The following is an 18,917-nucleotide window of genomic DNA, read 5'->3' as shown; positions in this document are numbered from 1 at the left end:
TGGGACAGTGCCCAGATCCCGCTGGCCTCTTCCCGGGGCTGCCCTGGCTCAGTGGGGAGGCGAAGTTGAAGAGGAACGGGATGAAAGGCAGAACCCCACGGGAAAGCTATCAGATCCACCCAGAAAAGAGAAGGTGGTGTCTCAGACCAAGGTGGTATTAGCAGAGAGAGAGAGAAACGGGCACCTTGAGGAATACCATGAGATAGAATGTCGAACGTGGAGAAAGAAAAGAAATTTTGGTGAGAAAGAATAGACAGTCTTTAACAAGCTATCTATATTCAAGGGCCTAAAAGCTCCCCACCTAATTCACAAAAAGCCCAGGTAAGAGGGCTCAGAAAAGCCAGCAGGGATTCTAGGCAGGATGGACACAACCCAACTCTTTCCTGTAAGAAAGGGTAAGTTCAAATGAGAACACATGGACACAGGGAGGGGAACATCACACACCTGGGCCTGTCAGGGGATGGCGGGATAGGGGAGGGATAGCATTAGGAGATATACCTAATGCAGATGACGGGTTGATTGATGGGTGCAGCAAACCACCATGGCATGTGAATACCTATGTAACAAACCTGCACATTCTGCACATGTATCCCAGAACTTAAAGTATAATAATTAATTAATTTAAAAATAAAGAGCGGCTGGGCACAGTGGCTCATACCTGTAATCCCAGCACTTTGGCAGGCCAAGGTGGGAGGATCACAAGGTCAGGAGATCGAGACCATCCTGGCTAACATGGTGAAACCCCGTCTCTACTAAAAATGGAAAAATCAGCCAGGCATGGTGGCATGCACCTGTAATCCCCGCTACTCAGGAGGCTGAGGCAGGAGAATCGCTTGAACCCGGGAGGAAAAGGTTGCGGTGAGCCAAGGTCATGCCACTGCACTCCAGCCTGGGCAAAAGAGCAAGACTCCGTCTCAAAAAAAAAAAAAAAAAAAAAAAAACAGTAAGTTCAGTGAAGCCAGGAAAGTATCTCCAGCCCCATGAAATTCCTCCAGAAATAAATGCTTGAAACCAAATGAAGGAGAACCAAGTTCCAAGTTCCAAGATGGCCAGTGGAAGGCCAGGCTGGGGCGCTGGTTATTCTCTGCCCTCCCAGACCTGTCCCCCACCTTCTCCCTGTCCGGGGAGGCCAAGACTGGCAGACGGTGTCACCCAGGCCACTTGTCCTCCAGCTTGGGGGCCGGCTGATGGGAGACACTGTCAGGAGAGCAGAGGGCAAAAGGAGAGAGATCGGCGGATTCTTCCCCAGCCTCTCCATGCTTTGGGACTCTGCTGTCCCCGCACCCCACTTCCCTCTGGGCAGCCACCTGCCATGGCTCCAGGACTCTCCGAGGTCCTCCCCTGGCCCCTTTTGCCTAGGGGTGAACTGGTCTTTGGGTCCCTAACCCTACCCACCCTCTGGAATCAGTCCCTCCATCAAAGTATCTTCATCTTCACCATCTAAAATTTGTTCCCTTTCCTGCCGGGGCTCCATCTGAAATGCCAGTGATGCCCAGTTGTCCTGAGAAACATCTACAGCATGCCAGGACTTTGGGAGGCCAAGGCAGGAGGATCGCTTGAGCCCAGGAGTTCGAGACCAGTCTGGGCAATATAGGGAGACCTCATTTCTTTAAAAACAGAAAATTAAGGCTGGGCACAGTGGCTCAGGCCTGTAATCCCAGCACTCTGGGAGGCCGAGGCAGGCGGATCACTTGAAGTCAGGAGATCAAGACCAACCTGGCCAACATGGTGACAGCCTGTCTCTACTAAAATTACAAAAATTAGCTGGGCGTGGTGGCATGCACCTGTGGTCCCAGCTACTCAAGAGGCAGAGGCTAGAAAATTGCTTGAACCCCGGAGGTGGAGGTTGCAGTGAGCCAAGATAGCGCCATTGCACTCCAGCCTGAGTGACAGAGCACGACTCTGTCTCAACAACAACAACAAAAATTAGCTGGGTGTGGTGGCACGCACCTGGGGTCCCAGCTACTTAGGAAGCTGAGGTGGGAGGAACACTTGAGCCCAGGAGTTCAATGCTGCATGAAGCCCTGATCCCACCACTGCACCCCAGCCTGGGCTGGGTGACAGAGTAAGATCCTGTCTCAAAAAGAAAAAATTCCCAGCTGGGCATGGTGGCTCACGCCTGTAATCCCAGCACTTTGGGAGGCTGAGGCCGGCAATCAGCTGAGGTCGGGAGTTCAAGACCAGCCTGACCAATATGGAGAAACCCCGTGTCTACTTAAAACACAAAATTAGCCGGGCATGGTGGCGCATGCCTGTAATCCCAGCTATTCCAGAGGCTGAGGCAGGAGAATCACTTGAACCTGGGAGGTGGACGTTGCAGTGAGCCGAGATCATGCCACTGCACTCCAGCCTGGTCAACAAGAGAAAAACTCCATCTCAAAAAGAAAAAGGAAAAAAATATCCCTTCACAGCAAAAATACAACAGCCTAAACAGGCAAGTCTTGAGCTGCAGGATGAGCTTCCCATTACCAGGGCTGACTCCACGTCAAGCCTAAATACTGCATGGCCCAAAGACATCTCATGAAAGAGGAATTGTTGCAATGCTCAAAATAACAGCTTATCATGAACGGTGCACTAAAGAGGAAACTGTAAAATAATACCAAGATCAGCTAAAGTTAGCTAATGCTGGAGGTGACATATACCTGGCATGGGCTGTTCTCCAGTGAGCCTGAATTATTTAATAGCAGGATGAGAATTTTTTAGTCTGTTTTCTCAGTTCTTCCACCAGTGCATGCAAAAATGTTCCTGGGGCAGGATTTAAAGTCTGCCTGTCATCATATTTTAAATAAAGTGGGACAACTGATAAATTATATTTTCTTATTTGGGAGGAATCCCACTTCTGTCTCGCCCATATATTCGCTTGTTCAACAAATATGTATCAAGCAATGATTATGTGGCAGGCACTCAACTAACCTCAGCGAGCTGTGCCCAAGACATTCATCCTTGTCCTCAAGAGACTCTAGATGAGGAACAGGATAAATAAGCAATTCGGATCCCAGGCAGTAAGTGGTGCACAGGGCTAAGAAGAGGTTCTGGAGGGCGTAGGCAAAGGGGCACCTTGGCTGAGGGCGGTGGCTCACGCCTGTAATCCCAGCACGTTGGGAGGCCGAGGCAGGCAGTTCACCCGAGGTCAGGAGTTCAAGACAAGCCTGGCCAACGTGGTGAAACCCCGTCTCTACTAAAAATACAAAAATTAGCTGGGCGTGGTGGCACACGTGTATAGTCTCAGCTACTCAGGAAGCTGAGGCAGGAGAATCACTGGAACCTAGACGCCAGAAGTTGCAGTGAGCCGAGACTGCACCATTGCACCCCAGCCTGGGGGACAGAGCAAGACTCTGTCTCAAAAAAAAAAAAAAAGAAAGAAAGAAAGAAAGAAAAGAAAGGGGCACCTTATCTAGTGCTGAAGAGAAAACGGGAAGGTCTCCCAGATGGGATGGGATTTAAGTGGAGGCCTAGAGGGTGCCCAGGAGCCAGCTGGGGAGAAGGGACCATGGGTCAGACTCCATGCAGATGGACCACGTGGTCAAGGCTGGAGGTGAACATGAAGATGTGGCATAGCCCCCACCGTCCAGTGTGGCTGGAGCAGAATGTGACTCGGGTGGCACATCAATCATGGAAGGCCTTATAAGTAGAGAGACCACAGGGTGTATCACCTGAACCAGGAAGTGTTTAAGAGTGACACATTTACACCAGGAAAAATTATATATACCAGGGCTGTCTCAGACAAACCAGATGTCGTATGGTCGGACCCTCTATTAGATGATGCAAGAGGGAGTTGAATGAAGCTTCATGGGTGATGGGAAGTCCCTAATGGGTTTTTGGTTTTTTTGTGTGAGATGGGGTCTCGCTCTGTTGCCCAGGCTGGAGTGCAATGGTGCAATTATGGCTCACTGCAGCCGTGATCTCCTGGGCTCAAGTGATCCTCTTGCCTCAGCCTCCCGAAGTGCTGGGACTACAGGCATGAGCCACCACAGCCAGCCCTGATGGGTTTTAAACAGAGGAATAACATGGTCAGACTTGTACTTTGAGAATCACTTTGGACCCACTGTGGAAAATACGCTGGACTGGGGCCAAGATAGAAGGAAGCGAGACCAGCAAAGGCGCTGCTGGAGAAATTCACGGAGGAGGCAGTGAGGGCTCAGGGGTGAGTATGCATGTTTGGTGAGGGAAGGCGTTCCTAAAAATAGGTAGGGTCAAGAGATTTAAATTGAAATCTGAGAAACTGCACCAATCAGACTTGGAGGAGGGATTAGAAAAGGGGGATTGGGAGGAGAGGTGAGAGGTGGGGGAAAGAGCCAAAACTGTAACTGGACGTCCATCTTGGGTGACAAGAGGAGAATGTCAGGCCACACGGAGCTAGAGACTTGGTGGGAACATTTGTCGGGGAGAGGGAGGGGACAATGGAGCTCACTTAGACTCACACTGGGCTTGCTGACTTAGAGGTATCCAGGAGCAGCTGGATTTAGGGGCCAGAGTTCAAGAAGAGGGCCTGGGCTGGGAAAGGGGGCTTGGGAATTATCCCACCGAGTGGCCCCGGGACCAGGCAGTGGTGGGGACATGCGAGGGAGAAGTTTCCATGGCCAGTTAGGACGAACAGGCCGCACGGCGTGGATGAAGAGGCCAAAGACGGCGAGATGGGTGGCCTTGAAGGGTATCACCTGATGAGGGATGGGGGGACCGAACAACGCAGCTCAAGACCCTGCCCAGGAAGGCACAGGACCCCGCTGAAGAGCAGCAGAGACTCAATCACTGAGGCTCAAGCACAAGGCTTTTCTCATTTCAGATACACACCACTCAGGGCCTTTTTCTAGATTTTGGCACCACAGAAACCAAACCTCAGAACAACCAACTTAGTCAGGCTAACGCATTCCTGGCTGTCTGAACAACCTGAGGGGAAACGCTTCTTGTATCCAATTCTGAGACATTCAAAACTATCGTTTCAAGCTGGCTTGAATCTGATTGGGAAAAGGAAGACTGAATTTCTGCCGCTGACGCTTCCAGACCAACAGAGGTTCCCTGTACCTGGGAGTTCTGGATATTCACAGGCAACTCACACAGGAGCCGGAGGTAATAGAATTTATTTGTCATGAGGTAGAATTGAAGGGGCCTTTCTTTCTTTTTTTTCTTTAGAAACAGACTCACTCTGTCCCCTGGGCTGGAGCGTAGTCACAGGATCATAGCTCACTGCAGCTTCAACCTCCTGGGCTCAAGTGATCCTTCCACCTCAGCCTCCTAGGCAACAAGGACCACAGCACAAGCCACCATGCCCAGTAAATGTTTTCTACTTTTTTGTAGAGATGGGGTCTCACTTTGTTGCCCAGGCTGTCCTCGAACTCCTGGTCTTAAACGATCCTCCCACCTTGACCTCTCAAAGTGCTGGAGTTACAGGCGTGAGCCACTGCACCTGGCCGAAGGGGCCTTTCTTTATGATACAGCTAAGTGGTCACCCGTATAATATTAGATGAGATGGATAGTACAAAAGGAAATTGCCCAAGTCCTAGAAGAACACAGAAGCGGCATCAACATCCCTTCTTCCCTCCTTTATTCTGCATCATAAAAACATCGCGTGCTTTCTAGATACAAGCCCAAGTTTCATGTACAAAAGCAAACCCTCCCCAAAAGAAACAAGTCATAGTGTATAAATTATTACAAGCAAAACCCATTACAATAGCCGGGCTCGGTGGCTCACGCCTGTAACTCCAGCACTTTGGGAGGCCAAGGCAGGCAAATCACTTGAGGTCAGGAGTTCGAAACCAGCCTGATCAACATGGAGGAACCCCGTCTCTACTAAAAATACAAAAATGAGCCAGGCATGGTGGCAGGCGCCTGTAATCCCAGCTACTCAGGAGGCTGAGGCAAGAGAATCACTTGAACCCAGGAGGCAGAGGTTGCAGTGAGCCGAGATTATGCCACTGCACTCCAGCCTGGGCGACAGACTGAGACTCTGTCTCAAAAAAGAAAAAAAAAAAAATTATATTAACCCACATATTTCCCAAAGAGAGCTCAGACTCTCAAACACTTCCATAAGCCCAAATCCTGCTTTCCATTTCTCTACAAGCTCTTTTTTGGAGGGGAGAGCTCTAGGCCTCTTGCATTTGGCCAGGTGTTCAGGGGGCATGCTGCAGCTTGGAATCCAGCAGTCATTCGTATCCAGGCATCGCATCCCCTCGTAAGACCTGTTCTCAGGTGGCAATGCCCCAGGCATGGGCCGCCTGCAATCAGAGCTAGTGAGTTCATTTCTGATCACTGTGTAATTATCCCATTACCAACACACGCTGAAAATCAAGAATAACCGGAGAAAGGCAAGACTCCCTTCTTTGTTCCTCCTGTTACACACGACTAAAATCCGGACTATAGTCGTCACCACCAGACTTGTTTGCCCCTCAACACCTGCTAGCAGTTGAATCAAGGAGGATTTTCACACCGTATAACCACCAAATAGCAATGAAAAAATCACTCCTGAATACCTGCCCCCAAGGGAATAGAATAAAAACCACAAGGGCATGATCAGGAGCTATCAAAAAGTGTCCCAAGACTGGGCACAGTGGCTCACACCTGTAATCCCAGCACTTTGGAAGGCCAAGGCGGGCGGATCACCTGAGATCGGGAGTTCAAGACCAGCCTGACGAACATGGTGAAACCCCATCTCTACTAAAAATTAGCCAGGCATGGTGGTGGGCACCTGTAATCCCAGCTACTCGGGAGGCTGAGGCGGGATAATCGCCTGAACCCAGGAGGCGAAGGCTGCAGTGAGCCAAGATCAAGCCATTGCACTCCAGCCTGGGTGACAGAGCAAGACTCTGTCTCAAAAAAATAAGAGTCCCAAATACCTGCCCCCAAGCGAATAGAAAAAAAACCACAAAGGCATGATCAGGAACTATCAAAAAGAGTCCTGGGTAACCAGCCTGGCCAACCTTGCAAAACCCCACCTCTACTAAAAATATAAAAATTAGCCAGGCATGGTGATGCACACCTGTAGACCCAGCTACTTGGGAGGCTGAGGCAGAAGAATCGCTTGAACCCAGGAGGCAGAGGTCGTAGTGAGTCCAGATTGCACCACTGCACTCCAGCCTGGGCAACAGAGCAAGACCTTGTCTCAAAAAAAAAAAAAAAAAAAAAAAAAAAAAAAAGAATCCTGGATAAATGGCCCAGCATGACCAAGGGAGACAGTGGAATACGGCAAGAGCCACACTGAAACAGCAGCTATGGTTTGATCATTCTGGCTGGACTCAGCTATACTGCGGCTAGGGAACATCTGGGTTTGAAGCTCCGGGACATCATCGGGCAAAGCACACTGGGCTTGTCCTGCCCACACACACTGTGACCGCCGGTATTAACCGTAGAAACTAGATGCTTTATTCATAGGATTTTTCTCTGCACAGTAAAGCTCTCAGAGCAAAACACAGGCTGATCTGAGCTTGAGAGAAAGGGATTCCTATCCTAGGATGTGAACATGGGAAGGAGACCAGGCCCAGGTACCTGAAGCTTACACCCGCCTAGTCTTAGATTTCTTGATGGATTCTGGGCTTGCCTTCACCTCAACACCACGCCATTCAGCCTGTCCCGTCTCCTAAAGTGTAGAAGGCTGGAGATTATATGATACAGCCTGCAAGACTCTGAGTGGTGCTGTTCAAACCAGCAAGAAGGACTTCTCTGGCATGAGGGAAAGCAATACACCTGTCTCTCTCCCAGATAAAAGGAAGAGGCGAGCTCACAGAACAGACGTGGCAGGAGCTCCACCTGCAGCAGCCAACCTCCCCCTTGTCTGAGTACTGGAGCCCTCAGTTGTCCCAGATACCAACGTGAGCCCAGGGGAAAGATGACAGCCCTCTAAAAATGCAAGAAAACACATCGAACATTTCATTTTATAGGAGAGAAGTGGAGTCATTCTCAGGCAGGTTAGTAACTTGGCACTGGTCTTCATGGCCCTGATGTAATATACTTCGTTTTCTCCTGAAACCCCTGAAACCTTCCTGGATTATCCAACAGCTCTTAGCAAGACAGAGGCTGTTAGAAATATGCAGAATCCCTAAGTAGTTTGGGGGCACATTCCATTTTTCTAGACAATTAAAAAAAAAAGAGTATATTTGACTAAGGTGTCCACCAAAAAGTCCCAAACAAATCAATAAGGGTTAATTAGTAAACCTCAGTTACCTCAAGATCTTACTAAGCCATAAAATCCACTGCCAATAATGCCTTGTTGGAGTTATGAAAACAAAACAAAATAATTCATAAAGTAGTAAGAACTATTAAAGTAAAATCATTAAAGTTCATTCATTTGAAGTGGACCATCAAGGGTAATATGAAAAGGACTACTACTACTACATCAGCTGCCACCAGCTCTATCACTAAAATACCGTATTTTTTAAAGTTACATAGACATGGGCCAGGCGTGGTGGCTCACGCCTCTAATCCCAGCACTTTGGGAGGCCGAGACGGACAGATCACAAGGTCAGGAGTTCAAGACCAACCTGGTCAACAAGATGAAACCCTGTCTCTACTAAAAATATAAAAATTAGCTGGGCGTGGTGACAGGCACCTGTAGTCCCAGCTACTCGGGAGGCTGAGGCAGGAGAATGGCGTGAACCCGGGAGGCGGAGCTTGCAGTGAGCCGAGAGCTCGACACTGTGCTTCAGCCTGGGCGACAGAGCAAGACTCTGTCTCAAGAGAAAAAAAAAAAAAAGTTACATAGATGTCATTTTTCACTAAGGCTGAAAAAAGTATTCTATCTAATTATTCACTGCTTACTAAAAATTCTAAAAAACTCAACTTAGTTTATTAAATCACTATGACAACAGGATCCACCCAGAGTCATGTTTCTGGTGGAAAAGCTACTGTGGTAACCACTTATTTACAAAAGAAAACCTAACGAGAAAACCCAACATATACAAAGTCCTAAGAAGCTGAAAAAACAGTTTTTCTAATCTCAGTATTTTCTGCAACCTAGAAGTTAACAAGAACTCTATTTTTGCGTGTGTGTGTGTGTGTGTGTGTGTGTGTGCATTTTCTCTTCTGATCTAAGACTGAATCACTTTCTGGCTTCATTCAGAATCCACTGAGGCCCGGTGGGGAGTGAGGTGTGCAATTTTATGCACTAAGAAAACCACAGCGGTGACTCATGTCTAATATGTGCCCTGCATGTTGTCAAGAAAGGCTGTGGAAAAGTCAGGAAACAGGACTTGGCTCTGGTTATCGCGTGTATTTCCCCATTTTTCATAGTAACTTGGAAAATGTTGCTACCCAACATTGGAAAATGTTACTGCGCAGTGTTCACAGGTGTCGGGATAACCCAGTTCTATTCTGGGAACTTTGAGTTCCGTGGCCCCAGGCTCCCAACCTCACCTCCTTGAGTTTGGTTTTCTCACTCTTGCCTTTTATTTATTTTTTTTTTCATAGGGGCAGAAAGTAGGGGTGAGTATTCATGAGATCATGGCTGTTGAGTTTTGAGGAAAATATATGGTAAAGTCATTATAGCTTATAAAATCTCCCGTCCCTGGGGTTTTAAAAGGCAGGAGGGAATGCCATTCATTTGAGATGATGAAGTTTGAAACGGATGACCTCTCAGACACCTTTCCGAATGTGAGGTCCAAAAGAGACAGGGAAGTTCATTCAATAGGGAAAGTCAAGCACCAATGTTGAAACAGGCAGCTGCTCTTAAGTGTTCTGTGAGCAACGGCTTCGGACACACCACGCCCGCGACTGAGGCCTTCCACCTATGGCCACTCTCGGCTGAGGCCTTCCATCTATGGCCACTCTGCAGGACATCCCTCGGCAGGGGTGGACGGTCACTCCCCATCTCCCACCACGTGGGGGTCTGCAACTCCCAGACACACCCAGCAATTGGAACCTTTGCTCAACTGACTGATCAAGTCTTTTCTAGTAATACCTTCATTCGTTTTAATACTTTTTAAAAGGTTTCATTTTGGACTAGCAAATCAGAAAAAAAATTTAATGCTGATCACTGGCAAGGATGTGATAAGAAGGTCATGCTCACACATTGCTAGTTGGAGTGCAATACATAACTTTTTTTAAAATAAGAGAGAGTCTTGCTCTGTCACCCAAGCTGGAATGCAGTGCATGATCCTAGCTCACTGCAGCCTCAAACTCCTAGGTTCAAGCAATCCTCCCACCTCAGCCTCCCCAGTAGCTAGGACTACAGGCATATGCCACGGTGCCCAGCTAATTCTTTAAAATTTTTTGTAGAAATGAGGATGTGGCTATGTTGCCCAGACTGCTCTTGAACTCCTGGCCTCAAGTGACCCTCCCATCTCAGCCTCCCAAAGTGCTGGGATTACATGCATGAGCCAGATGCCCAGCCCATCTCCATCTCTAATCAGTCAACAGCTGGCCAAGCTTTCTTCTTTCACAAGGCATGGCCGCGTTGCAATCATATGTTTTGATGGCATGTTCTCTGCCTCATCTGACCTGCTGGACTGAGGCCTACCAAGTAATTCATTCTCCTCCCACACCCTGGGGATCCATATTCATTCTTGCTTACTGCATCATCTGGCAGGGCGAGGGCTTCTTTTAAAGAGCATCGAGGCCAGGCGTGGTGGCTCACTCTTGTGAGCACTTTGGGAGGCCAAGGCGGGCCTCTTGAGGCCTTGAGGTCAGGAGTTCGAGACCAGCCTGGCCAACATAGTGAAACCTCGTCTCTACTAAAAATACAAAAATTAGCCGGGTGTGGTGGCAGGCGCCTGTAATCCCAGCTATTCGGGAGGCTGAGGCAGGAGAATCACCTGAACCCAGGAGGCGGAGGTTGCAGTGAGCCAAGATCATGCCACTGCACTCCAGCCTGGGTGACAGAGTGAGGCTCCATCTCAAAAAAAAAAAAGGCAAAAAATAATTATTACTGTTATAAAGAGCATAGAGATGCCCACTACCCATTGGCCTTCCACATAAGAGTGTAGCCACTCCATCGCAGGACCTCCGTGTTCCTTGCTTACACAGCTCCCCAGATGGCCAGCCTCGGGCCTCCCCCAGCCCTCATTTCTGAAGGAGCCAGGAGGTAGAGGAAACACTAGGAGGCTTGGAACTCAACTGTGGCTGAACCCCAGTTCCCAGGCCAACAGCCCAGGGCCAAGCCATCTCCCCACCCCAGCCGGAGCCCCAGAGGCTGCCCTCTGCAGAACCCTGAGCAATTCCCCTGGCTGGATGCCACCTAAACAACTCCTGGTTACCTCTTGCTCTGTAAGGGATCCCGCCTCTGTTTTCTTTCTCTCGAACCTGTTTTCTCTGGCACAGCAGTATCCCCAAAATTCCTTGCTCTCTTCAAAACATGACATTGACAGTCTGTTCAAACCTCCCTGGAGCATCACCCAAATCCACAGTGTAGTTCTCCTGTTCTTTGTCTCTCTCTCTCTCTCTCAGTCTCTTTTTCTGTCTTACATACACACACAGATGGAAGAAGACTCAGAAGGTCATAGGGTCCATCATCCTGCGTCTAGGTAATAAAAATAATATTAACAGCTAATATTTTTTGAAAACTTGCTATATGCCAGGCACTGAGGTAAGTTCCTCCCATGGATGTTCTATGAGAGACAAGTACTGCCACTGTCCCCATTTTACAGATGAGGACAGAGAGGCTTCGGGGGCTTGAGGAACCTTGTCCAAAGTCCCACCATTAAACTGGGATGCAGGCCCAAGCAGTGTGACCCCGGGCCCCCAGTGACAATTAACAACCACCTCCATGGGTCTCAGCCGTCTACAGCATCGCTAGCACCGGAAGGTTTTTAGGGAGTCTACCAACAACACAATCAGACACACCCAAGGCAAAGCTCATTTTTGGCAGAACATGCCCTGGAAAGCTGGGAGCAAAGGGGAAGCCCTGGAGTAAGCTCAGCTGAACTGATAAGGAAAGGGCAGAACCCACCGGAAAAACAGAACTTCACTCTTGCTGGAAACTGACACAGAGTATGGCAAGTGAGTTCTGCTTCTCTCCACCGCCCAGTGCTAGTCAGAGCCCTCCCTCCGGTGCTCAGCAAGACCCCGGCCTTACAGCAATTCCACTCTGCAAATGAAGCCCTTCACCATGAGCAGCTTCCCCAGGGCACAACTGTGGGATTTTTCTGCACGGACTCTTGGCCTGGCCCCATCCGACAGTTTATAAATGAAGGCCTCCAGCCGGAGCTGCAGCAGAGCAGAGACAGGAGCGGAGACCCTTGAGTCATCCAACCCCTGTTCTGTGCTACACTCTTTTTCCAACTCTAAATTTTATGTGCAACCAGCAAGCAATCAAGACAGGAAAAACAAGCAAAGTTTTACATACACCGACAAAATGCTGATCTGTCTATTCTATTAATAATACAAAATCTCAGCAAATGCAAATGGCATTGCATGCATAATTCCATAAAAAGTTAAATCCACACTAAATGTTTCCACCTGAAGTGACATTTCCAGCGACTTCTCCATTAATATAGTTAACGCTGTTTTTTTAAAGAGATTATTCTGTATCTCCTAAAAAAAATGTAGATGCTAAAAAAAAAACAAGAATAATATCCAAAAAGTGAATTCTATATACCACCTTTTATTCTGAAATACTGCACGTCGTAGCACAAGACTAACCCACAATCATATAGTTAGAAATATTTCTGCCCACAGTCTAATGCGAATGGTTTTTCGCTTTCTTTTTTCTTTTTTTCCAGGTCTCAGTGTAATACTAGCGCTAAAGGAATAATAATCAACCTCAGATTCAGAACATATGCCAAACTGCTCAAACTGAGGCTGAAGGATCACTTGAGCCCAGGAGGTCGAGGCTCCAATGGGCTGTGATTGTGCCACCGCACTCTAGCCTGGACAACAGAGCGAGACCTTGTCTCAGAAAAAAAGAAAAAAAAAAGCCATCTCATTATCAACCATGTCTATCTTTTTTTAAAAGAAGACAAAAAAAAAAAAACGTAATTTTAATCCACTTCCGTAGGGAAGTGACTTCTTAGCACTGACTTTAGAATAATGACACAAAATATCTTGAAGTAGGACCTTGAAAAATAGTCATGAACATGTAACATGGAAGAAACAAGTTTCAGAAAATATAAATACAGGGGGCCAGGCACGGTGGCTCATGCCTGTAATCCCAGCACTTTGGGAGGCCAAGGCAGGTGGATCACCTGAGGTCAGGAGTTTGAGACCAGCCTGGCCAACATGGTGAAACCTCATCTCTACTAAAAAAAAAAAAAAAAAAAAAAAATTAGCCAGGCGTGGTGGTGGGTGCCTGTAATGCCAGCTACTTGGGAGGCTGAGGCAGGAGAATCGCTTGAACCTGGGAGGCGGAGGTTGCAGTGAGCCAAGATCGTGCTACTGCACTCCAGCCTGGGCAACAACGGCGAGACTCTGTCTCAAAATAAATAAATAAATACAGAATACATATATCACCAGCAAATACTCCAAGATACTCAAGGAAATGGCTAGCAGATGTCCTAAGTCACTTTGTTTTTAAAAAGAAATATCACATGCATTTTAAGTGATATTAATAGACTGGAAACCCTTTGGAAAAAGGCAGCTGCAATCTTCAAGAAAAGGAAAGTTAATGAACTAAGAAAGGTGGCCCTGACTATAATAATCAGACACATGAAAACAAGAGGAAAATCTATAAACATGGGAAGGTAACAGAATCAAACTGGGAAACATAACGGATCTATAAAAGAAAATCAAAGAGAGTTAACTAGATTTTTTTTCCCGAAGAAATTCCAAACGAGTGTTAAATGGAACCTTTTGAAAACAGAAAAGAAACTCACTCTCCATAATTTATTTCCTTAATTTGAACTGAATTTGGCCATCAAGCAAGATCTGAAAAACCTCAAATAAAACTATGTCTACACAGGCCAAGCCAAATGGAGAATTAAGGCAATCAATCATTCAACTAATCAAGGCAAAAAGCTAGGACACTATGACTAAGAAACAGCGTGTCTCAAGGAAACGATCCAAATTCAAATTAATGGGAATAGTTGCTACATTTTCTTCAACACTTTGCCTAAAATATTCCAAAACAATGATGAAAGCTCATCAGAACATTTTCAGAAAGGTGCCTACAAGTAGGCATTAGTGTTAAATTTATTCCAACAGCGAGGCTCGAGAAAACTGTAAAAAGTTTGAAAAATGCAAAATGCTTGTACAAAACGTACATCTCCCACTGACTATGAGAAATTCAGACACGACAGATAACATGGCAGATCAGAAACTCGAGCCAGGTTCCTCCCAGCCAACCACTCTCCCCAGCTATTTTTCCCTAAAACCACAGAGGAAAAAGATAATTTCAAAGATGAAACATGTCACAACTAATATAGCTACTGTACACAAATGCTGTCTTCTTTGTAAACTCACTTTACTACAAGATACCAGGTTTTTGCAACACAGAAAGTTTACTGCAATTGTCATCAGAAAACGTTATAAAACATCCAAGACTCAGCAAAACTAATAAACGCATGCCTCCTATTTCGCCATCTCCATTCCTTCTATCTCCTCTTTAGAGGGAGGAAATTTCAAATTAAAGAACTAAACTACACATTTATTATATTATGGTTTTCAGATTTTTGGATTTCAGAGAGCTGTACAATTTTCCCAACTATCAGGGAACTGGATGAGAGTTGCTAAATCTTAATTTTTCAAGTAAGGTCAGTACATCCAAACTACCATACTGTCACCACCATTTCATGAGAGAAAAGATATCTCATCGTTAGAAAACAGGAAAGACCCTCATTTTAAGGTGAAAAAGGGATAAGCCCTTCCATTTAATACATTTGGATTTCTAAAAACCCCACTGCATTATCTTTCTCATTTTACTGCATACCAGTGACAAATTCACAGCAGGTAGGCCCAAGCTCCTCATCTCCAAACTGTGAAAATATGGCTAACAGACTTTTTTTTTCAAACAAACAATGGCAAAGTTTTGGTCTGAAATATATGGCATGACAATGGAATGGAATATTTGAAATCAGAACTATCCCAAATCCAGAGATTCAATATCCACAAACACCAGCAAATTAGCAACTTCTCCTTCAAACCCACATTTCTCTGTCCTTCCATAATTAGCATCACCATCATCATCACCACCACCAGTACTATCATCATCCCCAATGTCATCATCATCATTATCACCATCATACTCATCATCATCACCATTATCACCATCATCATCACCACTGTCATCATCGCCATCATCACAAAACATACACCCCAGAGAAGAGAACAGGGCCTGACTTCTCTCTAACACACTGATAAAGTTTGGATATTTGTCCCTGCCCAAATGTTATGATGAATTGTACTCCCCAGTGCTGGAGGTGGGGCCTGGTGGGAGGTGTCTGGGTCATGGGAGCGGATCCCTCACAGCTTGGTGCTGTCTTCCTGACAGTGAGTTCTTGCAAGTGTGTGGCACTCCCCTTCCCGCCTCGCTCTCACTTGCTCCTGCTTTCACCATGTAACGTGCCTGCTCCCCCTTTCCCCTCCACCATGACTGTAAGCTTCTGAGGCTTCTGAGGTTTCTCTAGAAACCAAGCTGATGACAGACCATGCTTCCTGTACAGCCTGCAGAACCATGAGCCAATTAAGCCTCTTTTCTTGATCAATTACCCAGTCTCAGGTATTTCTTTAGAACAATGCAAGAACAGCCTAATATACACACCATTCTGCCTGGACCCACATTGGGGCTCCCAGAACCTCCCTATATGAATAAAACCCAGAGTGGGTGAGGGCAGAATCTTAGTTCCACCACAAGACAAGTGGCAAAACGCAGTAGGATGCGTTCATGAACCCTTTCCAGGGACAGAAAGACCCGGGAGGGCCAAGCACAGATGCTCCAGTGATTCATCTGAGAGAAGCAGAGGGAAGGGGCTAGAAAACTCAGTACCAAACACCCCACTTCACCACGGCCTCCCCCCAGGCATCTGCTACAACTTAAGACTGGTTTCCTTTTTAATGGACACCTGTTCCACTCTTTTTTTTTTTTTTTTTTTTGATGGCGTCTCACTCTTGTTGCCCAGGCTGGAGTGCAGTGACACGATCTCGACTTTTTTTTTTTTTTTTTGAGATGGCGTCTCACTCTTGTTGCCCAGGCTGGAGTGCAGTGACACGATCTCGGCTCACTGCAACCTCCGCCTCCAGGGTTCAAGTGATTCTCCTGCCTCAGCCTCCCGAGTAGCTGGGATTACAGGCATGTGCCGCCACGCCTGGCTAATTTTTTTTTTTTTTTTTTGTATTTTTAGTAAAGACAGGGTTTTGCCATGTTGGCCAGGCTGGTCTCGAACTCCTGATCTCAGGTGATCTGCCCACCTCAGCCTCCCAAAGTGCTGGGATTACAGGCATGAGCCACCGCACCCAGCCCCACTTTTCTCTTTCTAGTCGCTGTAAAGAGGGGCAACCAGCACACTGGGCCAGGCTACGGGAAGCGGAGGCAGGGGACAGCTTCCCCTCTATTCATCCCATCAACAGTCATCAACGCCACCAGCTCACACTACAGGTGGGGTTGCAGGAGGCACCAGGAGATGAGGACTGTGATAAAAGAAAAGCCCCATTTGCTGTAAAATGGTGGGAAAAGAACACATCTGTGTTACTAGAGCCCTGGTCTTCAATATTCTACTTTGCCTCTCTGGCCAGTTGTCACCTGAGAAACCAGCCCACGCTGATAGACTCAAACCTCAAGCAAGACTGGTGTAAAGACATCAGCGGATGTTCTATCCTTTGTTCAAAGTCATTATTTTGATTCTTGACTTTGTAGCTACTATCAACAAGAGGAGCATATGAAGCCAGGTAGGCTTGTCCGGGCACAGTGGCTCATGCCTGTAATCCCAGCACTTTGGGAGGCTGAGGCGGGCGGATCACCTGAGGTCAGGAGACCAGCCTGCCCAACACGGCGAAACCCTGTCTCTACTAAAAATACAAAAAAATAGCCAGGCGTGGTGGTGGGTGCCTGTAATCCCAGCTACTCGGGAGGCTGAGGCAGAAGAATCGCTTGAACCCAGAAGGTGAAGGTTGCAGTGAACCAAGATCACGCCACTGCACTCCAGCCTAGGCAACAGGAGCAAAACTCCATCTCAAAAAAAAAAAAAAGAAGCCAGGTAGGCCATTGCTATAACTTAGAATAATCATTTACAGTACATTTCTACTGGAAAACCCATTTTTTTTTCCATCGGCACAGGGCAAATGAAGGGTGAATGCAGTGGCATCTCATTAAGGCACTCACAGGGCACTCCTGCCAGCTCCCACTCCTGTGCTGGGAGCCGCCTGACCCAAACGCCGACCATCTCGGCCACAGGAACCTGCACAGTGATCAGGGAGCTGCTTCTGCTGGACCACACAGATGGGAACCAATGTGGATCCGCATGGTGGAAGCACAGCCTAAAGCTCTAATGTTTCAGTTCTTTTTTAAGGAAAAGTCAGAAACTTCTGAGCTCAGAATCTCCGCATTCTGCCAAGCCTTATGCCCATGGAATAAGAAAACATGACATAGCGGGCTAGTCGAGGTCGTCCCGTCCCAGGGATGGTTAGTGGGCACCCAGGCTGGCCCAGGTACTCCCTGAGCCAATGTTTGGTGAGTTGATGTGATGGGAGCCGATGGGGTGGGCTCGAAGCTTAATCCATTACAGAAGCACAATGGATTTTTGAGTACCTATTTCCACGTGAGGTGGGATCTGTGAAGACAGGAAGAGTGTAGGCTAACCATGCACTCTCTAGAAACATCACTGGTACACACGACCACCCCAACAAGTCCTCATCCTCTGCCGCCTTTGGCAATTAGTACAAAGTCAAGAAAAGCCAAGAGCACTGGAAATACCCGCAGAGATTGCCTAAAATTAATCAATAAAAGAGGGCAGAGTGAAGAATATCTTTCAAGACAGAACTGAGGCTCCACAAAGCTCAGGTCGCACCTAAGATCTAGAATGACTCTGCCTCTGGTCACAACATTAAACGTGTGTCATTCCTGCTAAACGTGTGTCATTCCTGCTAACAAAGAACTAATATCTGTTGTCAAATACATTCTATATATGCCCCAGTGCCTCATCACACTGGATGTGTCCTTCATTGATCTGTGAAACAAACAACAAAAATTGATCAATTTTGTTGATAAACTGAGCAGGCCTTCAGAGAAGTCCTTTCTTCTGTGCATTGCTTTAGCTCTGTGAGACACATTTATTACAAGGAGACAGAGTTGTGTCTGTCTTGAGCAGACTCTGAGAGTAATGGAGGGCCGAGGCTAGCTTTTCCTGTCAACACCTTCAGGAGGTAGGGGGCGAACTGTTCTAAGGCCCTGCAGTTTCACCCCTGCACCTGTATTATCTTCAGACAAGTGCACCAACTGGATGGCCTCACTTAGAAGACACACAGAGAGATACACACTCAAGAAAATACAGAGTTACACACACACACAGAAAGAGACAGAAAGAACAGGAAATGGCATTTCTGCCTTGTAACCACCATCATCTTGTTCAAAATTGCTAGCAAATTCAATTAATCAAGAAATTATTTGCCAGTAATAAGGCAGGCAAACTAATCGGATGAGAATTATGGGGAAGTGCTTAGAAAATAAAAAGTATGTATCAAGATTTCAAGTAATACAGATAAACAAAATGTGTGATATCCATACAATGGAATATTATTCAACCATAGAAAGGAATGAAGTTCTGAGCCATGTTATAACATAGAGAAGCCCTGAAGACATCAGGGTACCAGTGAAAGAGGTCGGGCACAAAAGAACAAATATTTCATGATCCCATTTCTGAGGTACCGAGAATAGGCAAATTTACAGACAGAAAATAGATTCAAGGTTACCAGTGGTGAGACAGGAGGTACTGCGGAGCTACCGCTTAATGGGTACAGAGTTTCTGTTTGGGATGATGAAAAAATTTTGAAAACAGAAAGTGGAGATTATTGCACAATGCTGTGGACGTACTTAATGTCACTGAACTCTACAAGTAAAAATGGCTAAA

The 18,917-nt window shown here is 46.8% G+C and overlaps 1 protein-coding gene across 7 annotated transcripts in view, besides 1 other annotated feature; it reads right to left on the bottom strand.

Moving 5' to 3' along the window:
- CAMK1D (calcium/calmodulin dependent protein kinase ID) overlaps positions 1–18,917 on the bottom strand; it is a 485,999-nt gene that overhangs the window by 406,904 nt on the left and 60,178 nt on the right. The window lies entirely within an intron of this gene.
- Positions 2,975–3,034: an enhancer, noted in NCBI's record as "active region_3042". NCBI's record gives its function as "activates an Ori minimal core promoter by ATAC-STARR-seq in GM12878 lymphoblastoid cells {active_cell/tissue: GM12878}" and the evidence as "EXISTENCE:reporter gene assay evidence [ECO:0000049][PMID:35858748]".

Source organism: Homo sapiens, chromosome 10 (assembly GCF_000001405.40).
Source record: "Homo sapiens chromosome 10, GRCh38.p14 Primary Assembly".
Taxonomy (NCBI): domain Eukaryota; kingdom Metazoa; phylum Chordata; class Mammalia; order Primates; family Hominidae; genus Homo; species Homo sapiens.
This window is presented reverse-complemented; position numbering and strand designations above follow the sequence as displayed.